Source organism: Homo sapiens, chromosome 2 (assembly GCF_000001405.40).
Source record: "Homo sapiens chromosome 2, GRCh38.p14 Primary Assembly".
NCBI classification, from domain to species: domain Eukaryota; kingdom Metazoa; phylum Chordata; class Mammalia; order Primates; family Hominidae; genus Homo; species Homo sapiens.
Window position 1 is genome coordinate 9,226,460 of NC_000002.12, and position 16,496 is coordinate 9,242,955.

Genomic DNA, 16,496 nt, shown 5'->3' on the forward strand with positions numbered 1-16,496 from the left:
ATTTCTTGATCTGAGGATGTTCCATAATGACTTCAAGGGCACCTTCCAGCTTGGGGATTCTGTAATTTTAAAGTCCAGCTTGCTGAAGGGCTTTGTGGTAAAGGGGGAGTTGGGAGGAAGCCTCACTGAGGTTGTCCTGCTCTGGATGCTGGCCTCTGCACAAAGGTCCTTTCAGGCTGCCGTGGGGAGGACTGTCCTATGTCACTTCTTCTTCCCTCTTAAGCCCTGGAGGGGAGGACTTGGGAAACAGGTCACAGGGAGCCTGGAAAAACAAAGAACACGCCGTCCGTCCACTCAAAACATTGGCAATCTAGCAAACGGTGTGCTCTTCCCTGGCCTAACATCATCGGTGTGTGATCTCTCTCCCAGCACTCACCCAGGGACCAGAAAGGCGGGAGGTCTGGAGAGAGATTGCAGGTGGCTTCCTTGGTCAGTCAGGAGGCATTCCCTTCTCCTGCATGCTGGAGGGGTGCACCATGGGCCTGGGATAGGCTGTTGTCAGTGGAGCAGAGGTGTCGCCCAGCCAGAAGGGTAAGGGAGCTCAGATCCAGTCCAGGTGTTCGGGTCCTGCTCCCTGGCGAGAAGGAAGTATGTGTGAGAGAGTATTTCAGATCCTCCTCTCCTGTGGCTCTGGAATCCTGCTCATCTGCCATCCGGCGTCTCCAGCCCTGCTGTGCTTGAGAAGTCTTCATTTCTCACTAGCAGCCTCCATTATCTCCACTTCCTCCATTATCCCCACTTCCTACATTTTCAGGGCACTTGGCCTCTGCTGTACCCTCAGCCCCCAATCCTAAGGGCATGTGCTCTGTGAAGTGGGGGACTTGGGGTTGTGCGCCCCTGTGCCCTGCAGTGCCTGACGCATGAGTGTTGTGCTGACCCTCCCTCAGTGTCGTTCAGCAGTGAGCCTCCTCTAAAGCAAGTTCACCATTTACACGGTGGACTTGTTTCCTGTGTTTGTGTTCTTATTTCCTAAAACCGAACTGCAAACTCCTGAGGGCAGGATCTCTTTTTTCTTTTTTTAAAATAAGCTCTCATTTGTATTTATACTTGGCTATTTTCAAACGCTATTCGGGTGGGACAGGGCTCATGCACATTTTACAGCTGAGAAACAGCATCACAGAGGTTTAACGGCTCTGTAAAATAAGATAATTGGTAAGTAGTAGCCCTGAGACTTTAACCAGGATCTTACAGCTCTTGTTCAATGAATGATCTTTCTGTAACCCAGAACCAGCTGAGTATTTGGGAGGTCCTCAGTAACCGTTTTATTGAGTTAAAAAAATATGTGGGTAAGGTATTTGTGAGTACACGTGCATATACAAAGATTCTATGTGCTTAGAAACTTCTTTGACCAGCCTCTTCATTTGAAAAGGGATTTCAAGGTTCATATATGCATTGTTTGTTGCATGTTACTTTCTTTGGAAATGACTAGTGAGGACAGATAACTTAGAAATATTTGCATGTTACATCAGAAGAGAGTTAATAGTACTGGTTACTGTTAATACTAGTGGTATTAGCTGTTCCAGCAAAAGGTACTGCTTATTTATAATAACCAGATAATAGCAGCGAGATCGGAGAGGATAGTCTAGATAACATTATGAGTGTATCTATAATTATAATTGAAATGGAATGGGGGTGAATCTTTTAATATGAGGTTTTAAGAATTCTGGAATTTTAGTGTGAGACATAATTCATGGTGTATGGTTGATAGGGACATACTCTTTGGCCATATAACCTTGAAGAAGTAATAATCTTGAATTATTTATCATTGGAATGAATCATCCTTTTGAGAGAATCATATCTTCCTTCAGTGTTAAAAATATACTTATGTCATCTGTCATGGTGAGTATTCCAGTTACAATGCATATTTCTTTTTTTCACATCCTGCCTACTCACTTGGTGTTATCCTTGAGAAGAGAAAGATTTGAGATGATGGCTAAGTGGTTCCCAGTCTTTGAGTCTATAATCACATTCCCTGTTTTTTCGCATTCCTTTTGGTTGCTATGTTTTGGTATTTGGTCTTTGGTCTCTTTCTTTGGGGAAGAGTGATTGGGTGGCCACAGGAGGAGTAAACCCATTTGGGAGCTGATAGTTGATGTATTTTTGTTATGCTTGGCAGAGTGAGCGGCCCCCATCTTCCTGAGCAGAGTTCATGTGTGATATACAAATGAATGGTCTCTTTCCATCTGGCCGTCACAGAGGCAAGAAACTGTGGTGCCTCTGGATCATTGAATTTCTCAGACTCTCAAGGGACAGCAGAATGCGTATGTGAACTGGCATACCCAAATGCAAATTATTTCTGGTGATACCTAATATATGTAAATGTATGCTGCTCAGTTGGCCAAGAAATTATGAACGGCACTCTTCCTAAATAATGCTATATAACTGAAATTTTAGTTTTATTGTCACAATAGTGAAGTGTGTTGATAGTCCTATTTCCTGTCAAATTTCTGTGACATTTCCAGCAGCTTCAAGCACCCCTCACGGGCCAACTCCCCAGAGGTGGAAGATCCGGTATCTCAGGAGGGAGTGCTGCCGGGCTCCATTCCGAAAGCCACACCTGCCTTGTTACCACGTAGGGATCTGGCAGTTGAAGGCTAGGGGCGGAAAGTGGACAATCAGGATAGAGACAGGACTCGGCAGAGAAGCGGAGTTTTAGTACAGATGTACTAAACATCTGTACAGATGTGGAGCCCCCCCCGCATCATCACACTTAACTTCAGGAACAAAGAAACCCAACAGATTTAAAGATAGTAGGGCATACCTGCAGGGCTGGTGGCGGGGCAGGTGGCCGGTGCTGCTTCCATGGTGGACTTCGCAGTTGCCCTGGGGATGCTGACCCCTGGACTGGACTTTGCTCAGTGGTGCCCGCCACAGTGAGCCTCAGCCCCACCTCTGTTGTCTTCACCCTTTGACCTCACTTGAGCCTGGACTGAGGGATTTCCCCTGTCGATGAACCAACCTGAGTACTGTGCATCCAGCCTCTCACTGAGCTGGGAACCAGGGGCAGCTACAAAGGAGACAGGAGAAATAGCCGTCCCCCTTGGGCACTGCTGGCCTGGCAGGAGAGGCCCAGCATGTGTCTAGGGAGGAGCGGAGCGGTTGTGGCCAGCATTGAGCTGGCTGCTTTTCTGTAGGAGCCTGAATCTCAGTCGAGCCTGGAAGGACATGCAGGTGTTAGGGAGCCAGGATTGCCTGCGTTAGGCACGGGGCTGGGCACACAGAGCACTGGAGGGAATTGGTTGAGTAAGTGATGGAGTAGTTGATAGCAAAGGGAGACTGGAGAGAGCATTCTGCAGGGGGACAAAGTGCCTGAGCCTAAGAGGGGGAGACAGGCTGTCTGGAGAACATGAAGCAAGTGCCTGGCCCTGGAGGTGTGTGCCCCTCCTGTCCCCTGTAAATTGTGGGTGGGCCAGGCTGTTGGGGGCATTTGTGGGCCTGGAGTGATGCTGATTTCTGCAGCCCTGGCGGTTGTCAGTGTGGGCTGGGGTAGAGATGTGTGTTTGTGTATGGAGCAAGGAAGGTCCTAGCCTTGCTCAAGAGGTAAAGAAGCTGCTGGTTGAGAACAGCTTCATGAATTCTGCAAGAAGAGATGATGATGTTTGCTTCTTTTACATACTGCATTAAAGGTCCCAGACACTGGGGCATTTGCTGATGTCAGTAAAGAGGGAGTCCTGGATTTCTAGGCACTCACAGTTTCAGAATAAACACATATGTAAACAGCTGATTACCATATGGTGTGATAAATGTGTCAGGATACAGAGGCAGTTGCTATTGGCAACACCAAATCAGTCATAACCTTCAGGAGTGAACAGGGCTTGTTTGCTCAGGGTCTGGCCAGGGACCCAGAGGACCAGTGTTGGGGACCCAGAGGGGCTGCGTGGGCCTGCTGCCACTGCGAGCCTGTGTTACAAGACTGAGCAGTGCAGCCGTGACTCTGGCAGGCGAGTTTCCCAAGCCGAGGTTTCTGGAAGCCACAGCCTGAGCCCAGGGCCTGGAACCTGCAGGCAAAAACTGTGCTGAGACTGATTCCCCAGTGGTCAGCCCCACAGCTGGACTGCAAGCTGCTTTCCCTGGGCAGACTCAGCCTCCTGCAGGAGGGGTGTGGGAGGGAAGGAGCAGTATCTGTGTGCAGACCTGGGTTCCCCCAGAACTGAGATGCTGGATGAGGTGCCTGCATCCCCTGAGCTGCTTGGCGAGGAGGACGGTCCATGTTTTCCATCACAGCTGGGAGTAAGAGCAGATATGTGCAAGGCAAGGACGTTGTTTCACCTTTTGAAGGAAGGTTGTTAGGAAAACGCCTGCATTTTCTAATCACTGGAGAAGCCCTTTTAAGCAGACCAGATTTATAAGGGTTTTGATGAAAACAGTGGTTTGGGAGCAGCAATGTCTTTAATAGCAACAAAGCCCAGAGATGGGGTCTGCCTGCACAGGAGCATGGGCCAGGGGGTCCTGTGTGACCTTGGAGGTGTGTGAGGGAGGCCCTGGGCTGGTTCCATGGCAGGGCACAGTCCAGCTTCTTGCTTCCTGGCAGCACAAACCCCTGCCTGTTTCTGGCGGGGAGATGCTGCCCAGGCTCGGCTGCTTTGCGGTTCTATGTCGGTCACTTTCCCCAGGCCACTTCCTTCCTTTTTCTTCTTATGCCAGCCTGGGCAAGAGGAATTTGTGCTTCCTGCCAGCAGGATGGATGGGGGAAAGGCAGTGGCTGGGTGTTTCTCTCTGCTGGAAGGGTTTGCTGGGGTGAATCCTTTCCCTTCACTCCCTCCTGTAGCCAGGACCTTGTCACCTCCAGGGAGCAGGTGACAGTTTCCTTGACTCCTCACCAGGTTTTCAGGCTCTGCCCTCTTCCTCTCCCCAGCCAAGCTTGCCTCTGACCTCAGCCAGGAGGAACTTGCTCTAGGGCTTAAGTCAGGTCACATCTAACTTTAAGACCCAGTTTTAGCATCTGGTATGGAGGCAACAGCCTGGGCTTTGACAGACTTGGGTTTGCGTCATGACTCGGTACCTGCTACCCGTTCGCTGAGATGCCAGTGAGCAGTCGCTGGTCATGTTACATAGCTGCCACCTCCCGGAGGCCAGCTCTGTTGTGTGTGCATGCCCATTGAGATGCCCGGGTGCCGCCACACCCCTAGCCTGCGCCTGCCTGTTCTTCCTCCTGTCAGAGGGCCCTGTTCTTGCTCATAGACTCCTGCACAGCAGCGGGCCTGTCTGTCTGCCTGGCCCTTGGGTGTCCCTGGCATCTGCATGCTGTGTTCCCATGGTCCTTCTGCTAGTTGGAGCCCTTGTGCCATGCCTTCCTTTGGAGACTCTCCTCTCTGTGCCGTCTCGCATGCCATCCTTGAGGTTTTAGCTCTGTCACCTGGCAGCCTGGCCCTTCCCTGCAGCAGGTGAGGACTGAGAGCTGGGCTGTGCCCCTCCCACCCACTTGACCCAGCGGACACTTTGGGAAGTGGCAACCATAAGTCTGCCTGGCTTGCTCCAGTTGCCCATCTTGTCCTGTGAGTGAAGCTCCTGCTTCCATCTCTCTTGATCTGGCCCCTTCTCTCCATTCCTCCAGCTGCAGTGGGTGCCCCTGTCATTTGTCAGCCAGAGCATTCAACAGCCTCTGCTCCCACTGAGGTCATGGTGATTGTCTTAAAGATTTGCTCTTTAGCTTCTCAGCTGAAGACACGTTGGTGGCTTCCCTGACCTTTTGGAAAGTAACCAGACTCTGGGTCCTTCTCCTTTGTTGACCTGGCCCCTGCCTCCCTCCCACCCCATCTCATCCATGCCTGTCCTCTGTGTCAACACGCCTCACTGCCCTGCGCCCGATCCTTTTACACAGGTGGTCCCTCTGTTTGTAGAGTCGCCCTGCTCTTCGTATCTCCCTGCCTGTTCTGTGAAGTTCAGCCCAGTGCCCCTTCCTTGGAGGCCACATTAGAGGGCCCTCCTCTGCTGGCTTTGTGCCCCCGTACCCCTTTCGCAGCTGACTGTCCACATTATACTGTCTGTATCTGTTATTTACTGTCTGTCTTTGACAAACTATGATCTTGGAAGTGCAGAGAACTTGTCTGATTTGTTTAACCACCTCACTTAGCACATAACTTGTCATATTTTTAATTTATTTTCTATCTCCCCTTCTCCCCATTAGATCATAAGCTTCCTGGGGGCAGGGATTTTTGACTCTTACTTAGTGATGCATCCTCAGCACCCAGAATTGCACTGGACACATCATATATGTTTAATATGTGTTTGTTGAATGAATAAAACTGACAGGCAACTACAGCTTAGATTGCAGGGAGTGAGACATGCTGTTGCCGGAGCTCTGGTGTCATTGGTTCATAGAAAGCTTGTTTCTCTGGCCATGGGGACTTGATTCTTAGAGGGTAATGGTTCGAAAGTTGAATTAGTGAGTGTAAATCCTTAAAAAAGTAAAAATATGTTTGTGCCCTTGTACAGAGGGGCTGCCTTGCCCTTCTGGAAGAAGGAATTCCACGTTAGACGTGTTCCCAGCTGCAGTTTTGTTCTGTATCTATTGCCAGCAGGAATCCAAGGATTTCCTTTATTATTTCCAAATTGCTGCCTCTTAGGAATGGAGAATGCTGCCAGTCTGTGCTCTGTGTTTTTTTTGCTCAGTGGGACCAAAGTAGTTTTGTGGTAGAGAGATACAGAGATACGGCTTTGAGACAGTTTGAGTCATCTAATTACTGTCCAGGAGGGCTGGGAGGTTAACCCTGGTGGTTGCTTTGGTGATAGTGATCGATGTCTGTGTGACAATTATAATGAAGGCTGGTATTATGCCGGGACTTTGAAGAGTCTATCAGATAGTGAAGGAATTGCGAAGCCGTACTATGTTGAGGTCTCCAGAATAAACATCCTCAGAATGGAAGGTCCAGATGAGAAGGTTACCTTGATGAGAGGCCTTTATGCTTTTTGTGCTATTTTCCTTTATGGGCTCTGGTAGTTCTTTAGTGTTTTATAATCTCTTTTCAGAGAAAGCTTTTTGTAAATTCTTCAGATTTTACTTTTTAAGTAACACTTACAAAAGTTGTATGGTGGCTTGGGACCAATACACTTTGCAGGAAATGCAGAGATGGATAAGAAATGGTTCATTCCCTTCAGGACCTCTCGTTATAGCTTAGCCTATGTAGTGATTAGAGCATCTGCTTTGAAGCCAGCTGGACCTGGACTCAGATATAGGTTTTGCTAATTGATACCTGTGTGGCCATGGGCAAATATGCTCATTTACTCATTTGTGTTTAACAAACACTTATATTGCACTTACTGTGTGCCAGGCAGTAAGTGCTTAACACATGTTAAATGGATTTAATCCTTACAACAACCCTGTGGCTAGGTACTGTCATCATCCCCATGTTTAAAGAAGAGGGGAGTGGGCTGGGCATGGTGGCTCACGCCTGTAATCCCAGCACTTTGGGAGGCTGGGGTGGGTGGATCACCTGAGGTCAGGAGTTTGAGACCAGCTTGGCCAACACGGTGAAACCCCATCTTTACTAAAAATATAAAAATTAGCTGGTCGTGGTGACAGGCACCTGTAATCCCAGCTACTCGGGAGGCTGAGGCATGAGAATTGCTTGAACCCGGGAGGCGGAGGTTGCAGTGAGTCAAGATCGCACCACTGCACTCCAGCCTGGGTGACAGAGCGAAGCTATGTCTCAAAAAAAAAAAAAAAAAAAAAGGAAGAGGGGAGTGGTTCACAGAGGTGAAGCAATGTTCCCTGGGTCACTGAGCAGAGAAGTCACAAAGCCTGGGCACTCTGGCTCGAGTTCATTTTTCTTCTTGACGCTATTTGTGCTGCCTCTCAGCTTCCTAAGCTTGAGCTTCCTAAACTGTAAAATGGGAGGCAGCAATAACCAGACTGCCTAGAGACAGGCTGGTGTGAGAATTCAGTGAGAAAACCCGGGGAGAACATTTAGCCAGAGCCTGTCGCATGGCTGGGGCTCTGGCTAGTGGAGGGAGAGGAGACAGCACACAGATTGCACCAGAACAAGGTAATGGCGGCGCGTGGCCTTGCAGGGGCCTTGATAATAGGAGGAGCTCAGAAGCAGGGAGAGATCACTTCCTGCTGGGGCAGCTGGGACATTGTCATGAAAGACCAGGGAGGGGACAGATGGGACATCTGGGACTTCACAGCCACCTGGGGAAGTGGGCACTATCCCCATTGTGTGGATCCAGAAGCTGGGCTGTTTCTAATCAGTTAAAATGAGTAGGTAGAGCCAAGGTGAAGGAAGATGGATTTACTCAGGGTTCAGTTGGTTGGACTGTTGAATTGAGCTGGGGGCAGGTGGAATAAAGTCTGGTCAGCCACTCTGGGGCCGATGCACAGGGGCCCAGCCTGGAGCCCACTTCCGGCCTTGCGAATGCTTCAGTGGCTTTGCATATTGTCTCTTTGTTCTCACTCTTTAGAAATGTTCTCCCACACCTTCCTTCCAGTGGATTTCTAGAAATACCCTATTTTTCATGACTCACCAATTGAACACATCCTGTTTGGGGAAGTGATAAGAGAGGAATTTGAGAATGGCATGGAGTTGACTCCTAATGATGACTGGTGCAAGGAGTAGACGGCCCAGCCTTCTGCTTGCTCTGCCTCTCACCTGTGTCTCCAGACGAGCTGAATTTCTCCAAGTGCCGTGTTTCACTGTCCCCGCCCGACATATGCCAACTGGAGCTTTTCCTGTCCTGTTGTAGGCGGGGATCTGTGTGTGGCTACAGAGTGACTAATGGTAGAATTAATCGAGTTAGAGATGGGGCCTGTAGTTTTGAACCTGATGAGTTAGATGACCTTTTGGACCACACAGATGGCTGGTCGTCCTGTGCACCAGTGTGGCAGGGATGGAGCTTGTGCCAGCTGCCCCGGGCAGAGTTGTTTTCTTTTTAAGAGGTAGCCAAGGCAGCCTTGCCTCTCAGGACCCAGCCCTGGTGGGTGGCACCCCAGCCCTTCCCTTTCCAGGGCTCTGATTTTCCTCATGGCTTGCTGTTATTTCACTCGCAGAGTTCAGATGTTGTTCATTCCAGCAGAGGCCGGATGTGTAAATCATCCTGCAGCAGTTCTGTCTTGTATGGCCGGAGGCTCCTTGGTGGGCTGATTGGAAAGCCCAGTACATTAGGGAGTGAAGGGAGTGAAGTAAAGAGAAATGGAGGAGGGAGAACTGGAGCTGGGGCACGTGAGCTGCTGTGGTAGCGTGCGGGAGGCAGGGGAGTTCAGACCACGTCTCGGGGCCAGGAGTGGCTGACAGCTGAGGTGTCGGGCTGGGTAGGGCAGAGTGAGCCGCATGGCCTGGCAGCTGTGATGGGAACATGTAAGAAGTGGTCAGGCTGCTGTTGTTTTAGATGTCTGAACCCTGAGGGTAGAACTCGGAGAACTTGGTTGGTGGATGCAGCCGGCAATGCCTTCCCATGAATGGCAAGGGCAGTGGGCTTAGGCAGATGGAGCTGCTCCACCTGGCAGTTTAGCCTCCCAGGGGACTTCTGGCAAGGTCCGGAGTCATGTTTGATCTGCCAGGACTGGGGACTGGGGTGCTGGTGGCATCTGGTGGGTGGAGGCCAGGATGCTACTACACATCCCACAGTGCCCAGGACTGCACCCACCACAAAGAAGTACCTTGTCCCAAGTGTGTCCGGGCCTGATGTTGAGAAACGCTGGGTCAAAAGGCTTCAGGTGATGGTGGACTTGGAGGGCCGGTCAGGGAGGGACAAAGGGATGTCCTTGGCACCTGGACTGCTTTGGGGCCCCTGTTTCCTGCTCTTGGTGGGCCTGAGTCTCTCTGTAAGTTTTGCAGTATGAAGTTGACCTGGATGTTTCATAAGCAGAGGCTTGTAGGTAATCAAGTGCCACGAAGTAAAGATCATTTCGGGCCACTTGAATATATTAAGTTCGTCGACATCTTCAAAGAGTTAGATTGAAATGCTGATCCTCTTATATTCCTGACATATTCTTATCCTTGCCTGTATTATTTTTTTCTGTTTTTTAACCTGTGTTGTGCAGTATGCCAGATGAACTTTTTAGGGTGTATATTTTGATATCTTACTTTTATGAAGATTAATAAAATTAAAATTGTCTCTGTACTGATGTAAAGAGCTTGAACTTAATTTAGTTTTATAATTGTCTGTATAAACATTCTTAATGTCTAAAGAGGATTTTTTACCGGAGAGGCAAAGGGAAATAAAAACTTGATAAAATTTAAAAAATTAAAAGCAACTGTTATCTGTTATTGTATGTATGTATGTGTAGGTGGTTGTGTGTATGTATGAGAGACACAGACAGTGCATTTTACTTTTTTGTTTTTTAAAGATCCTGCCTTTAAATTTGGAACTATAATTATTTGTCAGCACAGTTAAATTTTTTTTTTCTTGCTTTTCTTTCTCTTTCTCCTTTCCTGTGTTGGAGCAAAGGTGCTGTGTGTTGTCTACTTCAGGTTTCTTTTTTGAGTGAATGGGACAAGGACAGGGCAATATCTGAGTGTCAGAAAGATCCCCCCCGAGGCTGGTGTGGGTACCAGGCAGGGCTGGGGTACGGAGACGGGCAGGCGGACCAGGCAGGGGCTAGTGAAGGCAGGACGAGGTCCAAGTTGAGGCCATGGCCAAGGGGAGGGGAAGGCAGGAACAGCTTGGAGAAATAGGCAAGAGGGACAAGTCTCTGACCTCTTGGCTGTGCGGGCTGGGAATCCAGGAAAACACTGGTTTCTGGCTTGAGTGAGTGGAAGCTTTTTTAAAAAAAGAGAGTTAAAAAAAAAAGCCCTGTTTTGTACACATTTTGATGGTTAATGTTGCTTTCTGACTTTTGCTTTTCAAAAAGTGAAAATGGAAAAGTTTAACAGGGCCTCAACTCCTGAGGCTGGATTAGGACATTTCTCATTTACATTGTGACTTTTAGATGAAAACATAATTGATACCTTTGAAAAGATTAAGATGGTTCTGCCTATTTTCTGAAATTTAGGAAGCACCCACTGGGTCTTTTGGTCTTTTTTTTTTTTTTTTTGACAGATTCTTGCTTTGTTGCCCAGGCTGGGATGCAGTGGCATGATCTCAGCTCGCTGCAGCCTCGACCTCCTAGGCTCCAGCAATCTTCCCATCTTAGCCTCCCAAGTAGCTGGGACTACAGGTACATGCCACCATGCCTGGCTAATTACTTTTATTTTTATTTTTTGTAGAGATGAGGGTCTCAGTATGTTGCCCAGGCTGGTCTCAAACTCCTGGGCTCAAGAGATCCTCCTGCCTCGGCCCCTCAAAGTGCTGGGATTACAGGCATGAGCCACCGTGCCTGGCCTGCTCTGGTTGAAGGCTAGATTCTGAGCGACCAGGAGACTGAGTCTTTTCTTGCTCACCTGGTGGAGTACATTGTATACAGTAGGTGCCCATGTTTCTTCTTTTGATTTGCAGAGCAGTTGTCTTGAGGAAAACCAGTGAGATGATCCCATCTCTTCCCATGATTTTGAGAGTATGATCTCTGTCCCAATTCAGAAGAGCCCTGAGGTGAGGTAAAGATGTTAGAGGTGAGTGGCATTCTGTGTCTGACCTGTGGCTCCAGTGTGTGGATCCGTGGGCTGGCGTGTCTCACATGTGTGGACTGGGGTTTCCCTCTTCCACAGGGAGGTGGTCAGTGTGTGGGAGGAGCCATGGCTCTGGCCTCCGACTGCTGGGGTTTGAATTTAGGGTGAGCACTTACTAACACTGTTAGCTGACCCGCTACCTACTGATCTTCACACGGATGAGCTTATTGATGGTGCACACAGATGACAGGTTTAGATTGTATGCTGGTTCCTTGTATTTGTTCTGTTTTTAAAACCTCAGCTCCTCTAGTCTTTGGTAGACACTCTTATGTTATATCTTGGGCAACTTAGTTCCTCTTTCTGGAGCCTCAGTTTCCCCATCTGTAACACCAGAGAGCTGGACTTAGGGGAACCGCTTGATATTTGACAATACTCCAGGCTTTTGTAAACAAATTGTCCACAGCTTTGCTGAGCTACAGCCACATCCGCTTGAAAAAGCATTGTCTTACCAGCCTGTGCAGAATCCAGATCACTTTCATCCACCTTCCCATGGGGGCTGCTCCATCCCTTGTCTTACTGGAAATGTCTTTCTCAAGGGTCTTTTCTGGTGTACAGGTCTCCCTGGAGATGGAAAACCATAGCACTGGTTTAAGTACAGTGTTTTGTTTGCATGGGGAGGAGAGGCTGAGGCAACAGCCTGTGAGTTCAGGAGTAATAAGGTGTTTGTTTCCCTTTTTGGCCAGTTTTTTTTTGGTGGCATAATTTACATACAATGAAATTTACCCTAAGAGTACACTTTGATGAATCTTACAAATGTACAGTTGTGTAATCCCCACCATTATGACCTAAAACACCCCGAAAGCTTCCCTCTTGCTAACCTGACTGACTTGGTGGTTCTGGTGGCTTTTTTGTAGATTGCCTGGCATTTCTACATAGATGATTTTGTCTTCTGTGAACGCTGTTTGCCTCCTTCCTTCCTGATCTGTTTGCCTGCTCCTGCTTTCTCTTGCTGTACTGTGTTCCCTGGGCCTCCCGCAGCCTGGAGGGGTAGAGAAAGAGTGGCCTCCTGCCCATCCCTCCCAGCCCCTCTCTGTCCCGTGGCGTTAGCAGCAAGCGCTTTGTAGCTGCCTGTTAGTGGGTTGCCTTCTGTTCCTAGTTTGCTGGTTTTTTTGTCATGAATGGGTGTTTAATTTCATCAGATGCTTTTTCCGCACTGACTGAGATGACCATATGGTTTCCCTTTTTTAGCTTGTTAGTGTGGTGAATTACATTTTTAACACTGCAACTACTCTTTGGTGTGGAAGCCTTATGTGTGGGGTAAGCACAGATTTGGTGTCATCATGTTGGGATTTGAGGATTAGCTGTTCTGCACTTCATAAGGATATAGTACATTCAGTTATTGACAGCAGCTAGGCTGTGTAGTCACTCCTGTGGGGCTGATTTGTTTAATTATGATTGTTGACCTTTTTACTCTTTCATTATATTTTGGGTAGAATGAAATCATGTGTGTGGTGATGGAGGGGTGGTGGTGGGGGGAGATAATAACAAACTCTTCTGTAGCCTGAACTCATTACTTCTTATAACCCATAGGTGTAGGTACCATTTTCTTTATTTTATGAATGAGAAAATTGAGGTCCAGCTTCTTGGAAGGTAAGAGAAATGAGTCCCATTTCCCCTAATATTAACCGAGCACCATTTATGTGCCGGCCATTTGGACCCATCTAAGGGGCACAAAACCATTGTTTTTTGTTGTTGTCGTTGTTGTTGAAACCACTGTAATGGCAGCATCTTTTTTTTTTTGTTTTAGATGAGGCCTCACTGTGTCGCCCAGGCTGGTCAGTGGAGTGGTCACGGCTCACTGCAGCCTTGGCCTTTCTGGGCTCAAGTGATCCACCCACCTCAGCCTCTTGAGTAGCTTGGACTCCAGGTGCACACCACCATGCCCCAGTAATTTTTTTGTAGAGATGAGTTTTTGTCATGTTTAAGTGACTTTCCCAAGGCCTTGTAGCTGGTAAGAAGGAGGTCTTCTGTTTCTAAGTTGAATTCTTTTCCCTGTCCTGCTACTTTTGGGGTGGTTTATGGAAAGAAATTAAGTCAGGGTGAAAAAACTAGTCAACTTCTTAGAGCAATGTAGATAAGATTTTCACAGTTGATCTTCACAGACTTATCTAAATACTGAAGCCCCATTATCCCTGGGGGGTATGTTCCAAGACCCTCGGTGGATGCCTGCAGCCAGCTAATATTGAACTAGTTTGCCTTCAATCACGACATGTCTCTGTTCATGTCATGTCTTCCTCCCATAATTTTTTTTTTTTTTTTTTTTTTATTTGAGACAGGGTCTCACTCTGTCACCCAGGCTGGAGTGCAGTGGCGCCATCACGGCTCACTGCAGCCACCATTTCCTGGGCCCAGGTGATCCTCCCACATCCACCTCCCCGGTAGCTGGGATCACAGGCATGCACCACCATGCCAAGCTAATTTTTTGTAGAGATGGGGTTTCTCCATGTTTCCCAGGCTGGTCTCAAACTCCTGGACTGGAGCGATTCACCTGCCTTGGCCTCCCAGAGTGCTGAGGTTTCAGGTGTGAGCCACCGTGCCCAGCCCCTCCCAAAAGTTAATGATTTTTCCATCATAACTAAGCACTTGCCACGCACCACGGCCGTAGCTTTTGCAGTTTGAGATGTGAAGGCAAAGCTAGCATGAGTTTATTTTTTTCTTCTTTACCATTTCATGAATAGAAGACCCACTTTTCCCTTAGATCTTAGCAACCTCAGCATAGGAATTTTTCCTTAAGTCAAGGAGTTTCATCTTTTTACTTAAAGGAAGTGCTGTATGATTTCTCCTTGGCATATCTGCATTACCAGCATCTAGGGTTCTTGTGCTCTGGGACCATTATTATGTAAAAAATAAGGGTTACTTGAACACAGGCTCTGCAATACTGGGACAATCATCTCATAACCTAGGCAGCTACTAGGTGACTCATGGGCAGGTAGCATGGACCTTGTGGTTCTGCCAGACAAAGGGAGGAGTCACGTCCCGCGTGGGAGGCAGGACGGTGTGAGATTTCATCTCTTGACATAGAACAGCAAGCAATTTAAAAGTTATGAATTGCTTATTTCTGGACTTTTCTGTGGAATATTTTTGGACTGTGGTTAGTGGAAACTGTGGAAAATGAAACTGTGGATAAGAGGGTAGTACTGTATCTGGATGAGTCCAAAAACACATTCTAAGATGAAATATTATTAGCTCACATATTTATCTTTTAGGATACAATCTTTCTTAATTTAGCATGTGTGCTGGAAGATATTTTGTCAGTATTAAGTAATGCTGCAGAATTTTGGTTGAACTGTTGTGCATGTAGAACATTAATTCTTTGTTTTCCTGATAGTTTTTGGTGAGAGGTTTTCTGGGAAGTCATTGTCCTATTACCACTTTGCATGCTAAACTGGTGCGATTATGAGTTCCTTATCCATATCAGGGTTGGGGATGTACATACATACATGAAAATCAAACTGGCTGGGTGTGGTGGCTCATGCCTATAATCCCAGCACACTGGGAGGCCAAAGAAGCAGGAGGATCACTTGAGCCCAGGAGTTCGAGACCAGCCTGGGAAACATGGCGAAACCCCATCTTTTACCCAGGCATGGTGGCGCCGTGATCGCACCACTGCACTCCAGCCTGGAGTCTCAAACCAGGCTCAAACAACAACAAAAAACTAATTGCTTTAAGTAAATGTTCATGCCTCACCAAAGATATGTACTGTAATTTTCCTATTGTGGATATGTATATTTTCAACTCCTCCAACATTAGTGAGTATATGCCAGACACTGTGCTAAGTCAAGGAAAGCGAGGAGAAGGAAAGGGATGGCATTTTGATCTGGACCTGAAAGGTTGAATCTAATAAGTGAGAAGAGAACTCAGGACCTGGCAGGTGGAGGATTACATGGTTGCACATGTTAGGGTCCCAATAAGTTTAGGGGAGCATGTTAGACAGATTAAGAACTTTGTTATCAGGCGGACACATGTGAATTTCACACCTGGTTTTACTACTTGGTAACTGTACTTCTGGGCAAGTTGGTTAGCTTCTTCGAGCACTAGTTTCCTCATGTGAAGCAAGGAGGAGAAGGCATAACATGTACCTCACAGGCGTTCGTTGTGTTTGCTATCTTGGAAGAGAGGGGGGAGGTCTGTGCTCTGTGCTGGAATGAAACTTTTTTTTTATTTGGCCAGACAGTGATGGTAGGCATTCTTTGGACCGTGATCTTAGGGGCGCATGCTTTGGCGGTTTACAGATAGAGATCTGACCTGGTCCATGGGAAGTGCAGATTCAGTTCCTTGCTGACACTGTCAGGAGCTCTTCCATCACCTAGCCTTGTGCCAGCACACTGGTGGTGCTTGGTAAATGTTTGTTGAATAAGTGCACTAAGGTTTCACTGTAACCTCTAGTGATCTGCTTCTAGAAGCCTTTTCTTCTGGTAGGGTCACACCTAGAGGAATTGGATGCTACAAACTGTGATAGACCCAGTACCATACTCTAGCTGCTGTGTCTAGCTTGACAGGGATGGGCACTTGCGGTGCCCTCAGCCTGGCTTGAAGTTGACATCTTGTATTGGGCGGTGTGTGGGCTCTGTTCCCTGAGTCTTCATCCTGAAACTGCTGGGGCTGATAGCTGGTCGCGGGATCACCTTTCAAAGGAACGCAGTCCAGAGGCCTTTGCTTCCTCAGGATGGATTCAAGGAGAGAATCCTCAGCTGATCATCATTTTATCCCATTTTTTCTGTTTCCTTTACTGTTCCAACTTTTCTTTCTTTTCTCACCTCCTTTATGGAGGAAAATTGCCGTCTGGGGAAGCATGATGCTGGGGAAGTAGGTTTTGATTGTCCGATGATTGTCAGGTGAGACTATTACACGTGTTCAGACCATTGGGTGTAAGACATTGGTGCACATTAGCTCCTGCTTTGATATAACTGAGGCCCAGTAACAACAAATTTTTGCTCAAAAAAAGAGGCATAA

General features: G+C 47.7%; 1 protein-coding gene across 20 annotated transcripts in view, besides 5 other annotated features; it reads left to right on the forward strand.

Moving 5' to 3' along the window:
* The window catches only part of ASAP2 (ArfGAP with SH3 domain, ankyrin repeat and PH domain 2), a 198,867-nt gene that overhangs the window by 19,648 nt on the left and 162,723 nt on the right, over nt 1-16,496 (forward strand). For 2 of the 20 annotated variants that reach the window (XM_006711901.4, XM_047446202.1), the window contains exon 1: nt 11,374-11,486. The exons of 16 other annotated variants lie outside the window; for them this stretch is intronic. In XM_006711901.4, the coding sequence (XP_006711964.1) occupies nt 11,478-11,486 (9 nt within the window). In that variant the 5' untranslated portion in view covers nt 11,374-11,477. Of the gene's footprint in view, nt 1-11,371; nt 11,487-16,496 lie in introns of those variants that run through there. 2 more of the 20 variants (XM_011510406.3, XM_047446228.1) reach the window with 2 other exon arrangements.
* Nucleotides 21-315: a silencer, noted in NCBI's record as "tiled region #15524; HepG2 Repressive non-DNase unmatched - State 10:DNaseD". NCBI's record gives its function as "represses a minimal TATA promoter and a strong SV40 promoter by Sharpr-MPRA in HepG2 cells {active_cell/tissue: HepG2}" and the evidence as "EXISTENCE:reporter gene assay evidence [ECO:0000049][PMID:27701403]".
* Nucleotides 4,610-5,166: an enhancer, noted in NCBI's record as "H3K4me1 hESC enhancer chr2:9371198-9371754 (GRCh37/hg19 assembly coordinates)". NCBI's record gives its function as "activates a minimal SCP1, AML or CMV promoter by ChIP-STARR-seq in primed H9 embryonic stem cells {active_cell/tissue: H9 hESC(primed)}" and the evidence as "EXISTENCE:reporter gene assay evidence [ECO:0000049][PMID:30033119]".
* Nucleotides 5,167-5,721: an enhancer, noted in NCBI's record as "H3K4me1 hESC enhancer chr2:9371755-9372309 (GRCh37/hg19 assembly coordinates)". NCBI's record gives its function as "activates a minimal SCP1, AML or CMV promoter by ChIP-STARR-seq in primed H9 embryonic stem cells {active_cell/tissue: H9 hESC(primed)}" and the evidence as "EXISTENCE:reporter gene assay evidence [ECO:0000049][PMID:30033119]".
* Nucleotides 7,936-9,135: an enhancer, noted in NCBI's record as "P300/CBP strongly-dependent group 1 enhancer chr2:9374524-9375723 (GRCh37/hg19 assembly coordinates)". NCBI's record gives its function as "activates an origin of replication core promoter dependent on BRD2, BRD4, P300/CBP, MED14 and CDK7 cofactors, with strong dependence on P300/CBP, by STARR-seq in HCT116 cells {active_cell/tissue: HCT116}" and the evidence as "EXISTENCE:reporter gene assay evidence [ECO:0000049][PMID:35650434]".
* Nucleotides 8,203-8,828: an enhancer, noted in NCBI's record as "H3K27ac-H3K4me1 hESC enhancer chr2:9374791-9375416 (GRCh37/hg19 assembly coordinates)". NCBI's record gives its function as "activates a minimal SCP1, AML or CMV promoter by ChIP-STARR-seq in primed H9 embryonic stem cells {active_cell/tissue: H9 hESC(primed)}" and the evidence as "EXISTENCE:reporter gene assay evidence [ECO:0000049][PMID:30033119]".